The sequence below is a fragment of the Homo sapiens genome, chromosome 5, assembly GCF_000001405.40.
Source record: "Homo sapiens chromosome 5, GRCh38.p14 Primary Assembly".
Classification (NCBI taxonomy): domain Eukaryota; kingdom Metazoa; phylum Chordata; class Mammalia; order Primates; family Hominidae; genus Homo; species Homo sapiens.
This window is the reverse complement of record NC_000005.10, coordinates 67809875-67819732: the sequence shown is the minus strand read 5'-3', so window position 1 is coordinate 67819732 and position 9858 is coordinate 67809875. Positions and strand designations below refer to the sequence as shown.

At 41.0% G+C, this 9858-nt stretch overlaps 1 annotated feature.

Annotated features, from left to right (window-relative positions):
• Positions 1016-1714: an enhancer, noted in NCBI's record as "OCT4-NANOG-H3K27ac-H3K4me1 hESC enhancer chr5:67113847-67114545 (GRCh37/hg19 assembly coordinates)". NCBI's record gives its function as "activates a minimal SCP1, AML or CMV promoter by ChIP-STARR-seq in naive H9 embryonic stem cells {active_cell/tissue: H9 hESC(naive)}" and the evidence as "EXISTENCE:reporter gene assay evidence [ECO:0000049][PMID:30033119]".

Genomic DNA, 9858 nt, shown 5'->3' with positions numbered 1-9858 from the left:
TAAAGTATTTTATTTCTCCTTCACTTATGAAGCTTAGTTTGGCTGGATATGAAATTCTGGGTTGAAAATTCTTTTCTTTAAGAATGTTGAATATTGGTCCCCACTCTCTTCTGGCTTGTAGGGTTTCTGCCGAGAGATCCGCTGTTAGTCTGATGAGCTTCCCTTTGTGGGTAACCCGACCTTTCTCTCTGGCTGCCCTTAACATTTTTTCCTTCATTTCAACTTTGGTGAATCTGACAATTATGTGTCTTGGAGTTGCTCTTCTCGAGGAGTATCTTTGTGGAGTTCTCTGTATTTCCTGAATCTGAACGTTGGCCTGCCTTGCTAGATTGGGGAAGTTCTCCTGGATAGTATCCTGCAGAGTGTTTTCCAACTTGGTTCCATTCTCCTCGTCACTTTCAGGTACACCAATCAGACGTAGATTTGGTCTTTTCACATAGTCCCATATTTCTTGGAGGCTTTGCTCATTTCTTTTTATTCTTTTTTCTCTAAACTTCCCTTCTCGCTTCATTTCATTCATTTCATCTTCCATTGCTGATACCCTTTCTTCCAGTTGATCGCATTGGCTTCTGAGGCTTCTGCATTCTTCACGTAGTTTTTGAGCCTTGGTTTTCAGCTCCATCAGCTCCTTTAAGCACTTCTCTGTATTAGTTATTCTAGTTATACATTCTTCTAAATTTTTTCCAAAGTTTTCTACTTCTTTGCCTTTGGTTTGAATTTCTTCCTGTAGCTTGGAGTAGTTTGATCGTCTGAAGCCTTCTTCTCTCAACTCGTCAAAGTCATTCTCCGTCTATCTTTGTTCCGTTGCTGGTGAGGAGCTGCGTTCCTTTGGAGGAGGAGAGGTGCTCTGCTTTTTAGAGTTTCCAGTTTTTCTGCTCTGTTTTTTCCCCATCTTTGTGGTTTTATCTACTTTTGGTCTTTGATGATGGTGATGTTCAGATGGGTTTTTGGTGTGGCTGTCCTTTCTGTTTGTTAGTTTTCCTTCTAACAGACAGGACCCTCAGCTGCAGGTCTGTTGGAGTACCCTGCCGTGTGAGGTGTCAGTGTGCCCCTGCTGGGGGGTGCCTCCCAGTTAGGCTGCTCGGGGGTCAGGGGTCAGGGACCCACTTAAGGAGGCAGTCTGCCTGTTCTCAGATCTCCAGCTGCGTGCTGGGAGAACCACTGCTCTCTTCAAAGCTGTCAGACAGGGACATTTAAGTCTGCAGAGGTTACTGCTGTCTTTTTGTTTGTCTGTGCCCTGCCCCCAGAGGTGGAGCCTACAGAGGCAGGCAGGCCCCCTTGAGCTGTGGTGGGCTCCACCCAGTTGGAGCTTCCCAGCTGCTTTGTTTACCTAATCAAGCCTGGGCAATGGCGGGCGCCCCTCCCCCAGCCTCGCTGCCGCCTTGCAGTTTGATCTCAGACTGCTGTGCTAGCAATCAGCGAGACTCCGTGGGCGTAGGACCCTCCGAGCCAGGTGTGGGATGTAATCTCGTGGTGCGCCGTTTTTTAAGCCCGTCGGAAAAGCGCAGTATTCGGGTGGGAGTGACCCGATTTTCCAGGTGCCGTCTGTCACCCCTTTCTTTGACTCAGAAAGGGAACTCGCTGACCCCTTGCGCTTCCCAAGTGAGGCAATGCCTCGCCCTGCTTTGGCTTGTGCACGGTGAGCGCACCCACTGACCTGCGCCCACTGTCTGGCCCTCCCTAGTGAGATGAACCCGGTACCTCAGATGGAAATGCAGAAATCACTCGTCTTCTGCGTCGCTCACGCTGGGAGCTGTAGACCTGAGCTGTTCCTATTCGGCCATCTTGCGACAGTAAGTCTTAGAGCTCCAGAAATGAACTCCTTTGACTCCATGTCCTACATCCTGGGCACACCGGTGAGAGGTGGGTTCCCAAGGCCGAGGAAGCCCTGCCTCTGTGGCTTCGCAGGCTCGGCCCACTTGGCTGCTCTTGTGAGTTGCAGTCAAATGCCTGCAGCTTCTCCACGCTGAGGTTGCGCACTGCTGGTGGCTCTAATATTCTAGGGTCTGGAGGGTGGGTGGCCCTGCTTCTGCGGCCTCCACCAGGCATTTTCCTTGTGGGGACTCTGAGGCAGTGGGGACTCTGAGGCAGTGGGTAAATAATGATTTTCTTGTTTTTATTAATCTTTCTTAAATGTACATATAGCTCACATTTATTTCAGTGTTAAATATTAGAAGTGTTTTGGTTTTTCTTTAGAAGTTTGGTGATGTTTTTGTGAACGGAAATAGGCCATTACTGTTATTTATATCAATTAGCCTACAATAAAATTGGTTTTGTTTTTTGGCATTTCACTAAGTGAGGACTTAGCTGTATTGTTTGTTTTAATAAAAAATATAATTGCTCCTCCATCTCTTTAAGTATAATTGACCCTCTAGGAGAGGGGGCATGGTTAGACTATGGCTTTGAATGTCCTCTGGGTACAAATGGGTGTTAAGAATCTATCTGCTTTGAGGATTCAGGTACCAGTTCGAGAAATGCCAGGCTATGCAGTACTGCTCCTTTAGCGGAGGTTACAGAGCCATAGATGGCCATGTGTTTGGGATGTTATCAAGGGAATTTGTGCACTCAGTAAAAGGTTAGACTAGAGGAGGCTTAATGACGTCTAGTTTTCTATGGCATTAACATAACATAATGATTGAGGGTAAGGTTGTAGAGTCAGATGGGCCTGGGATTTGACTCCAACACCTGGCAGTTGTATGCTTTGAGGCAAGTTATTTAATGTCTTAAAGGCTCAGTTTCTGAAAGAGTAAAGAGTAGTTAATTATACCTACCTCATAATGGGTGTTGGAAGGATTAAATTAGCTGGTATACTGAAAGTACTTAGCTCAGAGTCTGGCACATGTTAAATGTTCATAAATGGTGGCCATTGTTCTGTTTTTTACCAAGGGGGCTCTGGGACAGGAGTGGAAATGAGCCCTCAGGCCATCTCCTTACACTTTCCTTCTCTGTGCTTGCTCCCCTCCTTGCTTTGCCCCAGTTGTAGGAGGTGATTGGAGCTTTGCCTGGCAAAACATGATGGACTGATCATGAGCCATTTCTTCTGCAGCAAATAAAAATGTTTTGGATCCTATTTCCTGCCTATGGTCTTGCACATCCTTGGAGGAACAGTCAACTGCACTGAAGCATTTCTTCCTCCCTCTAACTGCTCTGTAGGATGGGGTAATGGGCATGTTGTTGGCTGCAGCAAAAGGTGTCCACCAGGGCTTTTTCCCCTCTTAATACTATGTAGCAAGACAGGTAACAATTTGACCTTCTTATATTTATCACAAATAAGGAGAGCAAGTGATAAAGTATAGTAAGGACATATGAATTCTACATAGAAAAAAAAGCCAGTGAGAAAGTGTTCTCTTTCTCTCTCCTTTTAATGAGTCAGACATTGTAACCACATTTCTTTGCTAACCAGTCATTTGTAATGCATAGAAATTTAGTCAGCTAGAGCCTGTCTTCCAGGTGAGCGGTGCCAAAACCAATCGATCGTTTCTGATGCTGCTTCTGTAACTGTGCCATGGAACTAGCCATAGTTATGAACATTCTGCTGCTCTGTGCTGCCTCAGAACATTCCCCACAGGCCTTTGTGCCTTCTCGTCATCATTATCAGTATTATCCCTGTGATCAAAATACATGAATTTTGTTTTCTGTTTGAAAAAGCACTGCACTAGGCAAAATTTGGGAACAGTCAGATCCCTGCTTCAAACAAATTTACACTGTGAAGATCACCGTAAGAGGTGAGCAACTCTGAATAAACATATTGCTCAAATAAGCAGTGTCACAATGACTTCTTAGAATGGACTGTTCACGAGATAATCAGGCCTTGGGTAGGAAAACAGATAAAACAGAAGGTTACTGTTGATTAATGTTTTATTTTTGCTGAGCCAGTTTGATGCCCTTAACTACCATTTCTGTGCAGCAAAAGGGGCCAGCAAAGACCTTTCTGATAAAAGTTCAAAAAGCCTTATTGTAAGAGTGACAAAAATGTTAGTGAGTAGAGTCCTTATCGTGGATAATGGAATAGTTCCTCTTGGTGGAAATGGGCTGTTCTGCCAAGGGAACTCAAGGGAGTGATTGGGAGGTTTTTGTATATTATGTAAGCAAGTTTATTTTGGGAGCTCGGGGCAGAGTGTGCTGCTGTCTTTAACCACATGTGCTTATTTCCATAATGACCACTTCTTTCCTGGGCTGTGTGGAACATCATCTACATTAGTGCCGGGTGAGCAGCCGTGAAGAGGTGGTAAGGCACCAAAACTAGTGAGATGCTCTGATGATGCTTGTTGAACTCTGCCCAGAAGTAAACATCTGAATTTGGAAATGTAAAGATATTACCAGTTAAACCAATCCATTGCATTTGGATTCCCATTCACAAATGCATCCAAAAGCCCCTTACAATACTCAGCTTTCACTCTCTGAGTAAAAGTCTCTATCTTTTCTAGTTTATTCACTTAAAATAAGTATTGACCAGAAATTGTTTATGAACTCATAGTGCAAATTCTGTAGGCCTCAAACTTAAAACCCTAAATAGTTATGGCTTTATGTTTTGAAAGTTCGTGTCCTTCCTAGGATTTTCTCAGCTCTACTGTTGCCTACTTCCTTCTTCTTTATATTGTTCTGCAGCCTGCATTTTTCTGAATATGTTTCTTTCATTTTCATGAAGCTGGTGCTTGATCTGATCTCTCCACTTCCTTCTTAAAATTGGTTTGGCAAGTATGAAAGTATAGTTTTTACAATGGTAAAAATCATGATTCTCAGGCAAATGCAAAACAAGCACATGACAATGATTTTATTTAATTCATTAAATAATGGAGGGGGCAGGTAAAACAGTAAAACCAGCCCAAAAAGCACTGGAAACGTGACATATATAGTCAATTCAACAAAGAAATGTTAGGATATAATTTCTGGGTTAGGCACAACACTGGTTAATGTCCAGCAGGTCCGTTGGTTCACACTGTTAGTCTATTTACTCTGGATTAAATTTATTTATGTTTCTAGTAATAAAAATGTCCATGTTGGCTGTTACAGAGTTGTAAATTGTTGTAAAAAGTGCACCCTAGCACTGTACTGAAAGTACACCCAGTAATCTCCTTTCAAAATATTGGAATAATATTTTTAGACACAATCTAGTCTCTCACATTGCAAAAATAGAAAGAAAGCAAGCAAAAATCAAAAATATTCTCTTCCTCATCTCAATTCATTTCTTCCCTATTGCTCTCATGCCCTTTCATAGCCAAAGTAGTAGAAAGAGTTGTCTAGTTTCACTGGCTTCATTTCCTCACCTCTCACTTACTCTCCAGTCCACTCCGATATGAATTCTAGCGCCATCATTTTTTTCTCATCTTCTGCTGTGGTCACCAGTGACCTACATCTTTCTAGATCCAATGAATGTTTTTTATTCCTTATCTTATCCGACCTTTCAGCAGCTTTTGAATTTAACCACACATTCCTTGATACATTCTCTTCCTTTGGCTTCTGGGCGCTAATACTCTCCTGGCTTTTCGCCTGCTTCTTAGGATCCTTCTTCTCTGTCTCCTTGGCAGGCTTATTCTGTACTGCTCTGACATTAAATGTTGGGATTTCTCCATGTCGGGCTCTAGACCCTCTGTTCTTCAGTACTTTCTTCTCAGACACCACCCAAGCTCATAACTTCAGTTATCCCCATTTGCAGATGAAGCACACATTTGTTATCTCCAGGCTACATACTTCTGCTCATATACATGCCTGCTTGCTTGACACCCTCTTTTGAATTCCTAGAGACATTTCAAGTTTAATCAGGATAAACCTGAACTTATGAATTCCACTCTCCAACACCCCTAATTAAAGCAAGTCTTCTCCCAGTGTCCCTATCTTAGACAATACTACCTACTCAGCAATGCAAGCAGCAACCTAGGGAGCAACTGAGACATATCACTCACACCAAACCCTGTTGCCTTCAGACTCACTGTGGATGTCTACCTCCATGCAGAGCTGCTCTCCAGAATTCAAAGAAATGGCCTTTAGAATTTATTTTTATTTATTTACTTGTTTTATTAATTTTTTATTTTTTATTTCAATAGGCTTTTGGGGAACAGGTGATATTTGGTTACATGAATAAGTTCTTTGGCGGTGATTTCTGAGATTTTGGTGCACCCATCACCCTAGCAGTGTACACTATGCCCAATGTGTAGTCTTTTATCCCTCGCCAACACCCACACTTTCTCCCTAGTCCCCAAAGTCCAATGTATGATTTTTATACCTTTGCGTCTTCATAGCTTAGCTCCAAGGTATGAATGAATAAATACAATGTTTGGTTTTTTATTCCTGAGTTACTTCACTTAGAATAATAGTCTCCAGTTCCATCCAGGTTGCAGTGAATGCCCTTATTTTGTTCCTTTTAATGGCTGAGTAGTATTCCATGGTGTGTGTATGCATGTGTGTGTGTATATATATATATATCATATAATATTTTCTTTATCCACTTGTTGATTGATGGGCATTTGGGCTAGTTCCATAGTTTTGCAATTGCAAATTGTGCTGCTATAAACATGCACGTGCAAGTATCTTTTTCATATAATGACTTTTTTTTCCTCTGGGTAGATACCTAGTAGTGGGATTGCTGGATCAAACAGTAGATCTACTTTTAGTTCTTTGAGGAATCTCCACACTGTTTTCCATAGTGTTTGTACTAGTTTACATCCCCACCAACAGTGTGAAAGTGTTCCCTTTTCACTGCATCCCTGCCAAGATCTATTATTTTTTAATTTTTTTATTATGGCCATTCTTGTAGGAGTGATGTGGTATTGCATTGTGGTTTTGATTTGCATTTCCCTGATAATTAGTGATGCTGACCATTTTTCTATATGTTTGCTGGCTCTTTGTATGTGTTCTTTTAAGAATTGTCTATTCATGTCCTTAGCTCAGTTTTTGATGGGATCGTTTTGTTTTCTTGCTGATTTGTTTGAGTTCTTACAGAGTCTGAATATTAGTCATTTGTTGGATGTATAGATTGTGAATATTTTCTCCCACTCTGTAGGTTGTCTGTTAACTCTGCTGATTATTTCTTTTGCTGTGCAGAAGCTTTTTAGTTTAATTAAGTAAGTCCATTTATTTATCTTCGTTTTTGTTGCATTTGATTTTGGGTTCTTGATCATGAAGTCTTAAAAGTTTGATTGTTTAATGTGATAAATATGCCTGAGAAATGCTGGATAGTTCAGATTCTACTGGTATACTTTGTAGTGTACATCCTAGTTCCAAATACATATGGGATATGCATGGGAGTCAGGGTTCCAAGGAAGAACCAAAGTGTTGGTTCAAAAAGAGGCTAGAGATGGGCATGGCAGACACATTGTCAACTGGGTTGAGTTAGTTTTGCTTCTCCTTCAGGTATGGAGAGAAGAATTCAGGATCATGTTTTAAAATGAGCTGGAGCAAACTCGAAGGAGAGTTACTTTCTTGGATGGAATGTGGGCTTTGTTTTCACCACTGTCTATCTGGGTCTAGCACAGTAATGTTGATGGGTCATAGGAGTCCAAACAATGCCTGTTGAATGAATGGGTGAATGCATAGAACCAACCCATCTGGAGATGGGGAATTAGAAAGTGTTTCCTGCTGGGCATGGTGACTCATGCCAACATTTTGGAAGGCTGAGGCAGGTGTATCATTTGAGCCCATTAGGTCCAGACCAGCCTGGGAAACATAGCGAGACCCTGTCTCTACAAAATACAAAAATTAGCTGGGCATGGTGGTGCATGCCTGTAGTCCCAGCCACTTGGGAGGGTGAGGCAAGCAGATTGCTTGAGCTCAGGAGGTGGAGGCTGCAGTGAGCTGTAATCATACCACTGCACTCCAGCCTGGGCAACAGAGTGAGAGCCTATCTCAAAATAAAAGAAAAAAAAGAGAAGAAAGAAAGAGAGAGAGAGAGAGGAAGGAAGGAAGGAAGGAAGAAAGAAGGGGAGGGGAGGGGAGGAAGAAAGAAAGAGAAAGAAAGAAAGAAAGAAAGAAAGAAAGAAAGAGAAAGAAAAGAAAGAAAGAAAAGAAAAGAAAAAAAAGAAAGATTCCTGAAGGAGTTGGTGCCTGATGCAAGTTGTGAAGGTTAAGTGGGAATTTGCCTGGAAAATGAAAAAAGGGAAACTCCAGGTAGAGGATACAGTATGAATATGAGCAAAAACCCTGGCCTGTAGTTTGTGGAAACTGAGAAATAGTGTTGCTAGAGCACAAGAGGCAAGTGTAATGAACAAGGCTGAAAAATATACAGGAGGCAGATGATTGCTTCGTCTTCACCCAACAAGAGCTTTTTCTGAATTCCAAAAGTACTTCATACATAACACTTATGACACGACATCCTTATTATGTTCTTTGACATCACTGTGGGATGCAAGGGCAGGGTCTGATTGTTACTCACCTTTGTGTCCTCAGCTCCTGACATTATCATTGATATAAATGGCAGGCAGCTGAGAAGGAAGAGGATTAATTAACAGTCTTGCTGACTATTCCTTAAGCAAGAATAGGTGACACCTAGCATAAAGATATAACATAGTCCAAATTTATGCTGACAAAAACTGTAGTGGTAGAGGAGAAAAAGGATCTCTAACACTCCTTTCCTCTCCCCAGGCCAGTGTGGGACGTATTTTGGTGTCCTCTCTTTCCTTACATCAAAGTAACAAAACTAAAGTTGCTAAAGGTATCAAATCCAGAATAGAGGTTCTAGCTGATCCTTGCATAATCCTGGTGCCTGTAGTGATAAATTAACACATATTAGTGTTGTTTTTAAAAAACCATCCTATACTGAGCAGAATAATAGTAGAGAAGAAGCCTGAAAATGGCTTATTTTTACTTCCAAGAAAAGTAGAAACAAACACAAGTAACTTATGACTGAGTCCTTAGGAAGAAAGATAAAATGAAGCTTTATTTGTAATATGCACCTTGAAATTAAGGTAGCAAATATCCCAGACCTTTATAAGATGTTTTTTCCCTCCTCTAATTATTACAAAAAATACTAATATGTGTTCAGTATAAAGTATTAGGATGAAAGAAAAATTATGAAAAGTCTCACTAACCAGAGATAAACAGTTAATATTCTGTGCATATTCTTCCAGATAGTTTTAAATACAAACATAAACACACATATGCACACACGTGTTTTATAATAGAGGTTATGTTACACATGCTATTAAATAACCTGACTTTCTACCTTATTGTGTCAGAGATATTTTATAAATAGTTACTTTTAAAGTTCGCATAGGATATAGTCCACATATGTATACTCCATGATTTACTTATCAGTCGTTCAACCAACAAATTTTGATTGAGTCTTACTTCACGCCAACAGCTTTTCTAGATACTGAGGCTATACCAGTGTACAGAATGGAGACCCTGTCATCAGGTTATTTACTTTTAACTTGGCAACAGAGGAACAGAAAATGAACTCATAAATAAGTAAAATAAATTCAGGCATTAGTGAGCCTATAGAGGAGATAAAAGACAGTGATGTGCTAAAGAGTCATGAGAGTCACTTCAATTTCTGGTAAGATGGCAGACTAAATAGTCTCAAAATAAGCTCTTTTGTACTATCCCAACATACAATTCAGAAAGAATAGAGAGTTTTTTTGAATGCACAGCCAAACTAGCAAGAAAGTAAGGAAAATCCTAAAAATCAAAAGATAAAAACTAAACAATTATTTAGAATAATACTTCACACTGAATCTCGCTGAGGCCATCTACCAATATGGAATTGTAATGGCAACACCCAGGAGAGGAGGCGAAGATGGAGCAGAAGATGGAGCCTGTGTAAGGAGAAGCGTGAGAAGGGGAAAGTCCCATAAATTCAGGGCCCTGAAGTGCTACCCTCTCAGTGAAACTGCCTTTAAGGAGATGACGAGAGAACTGTTTCTT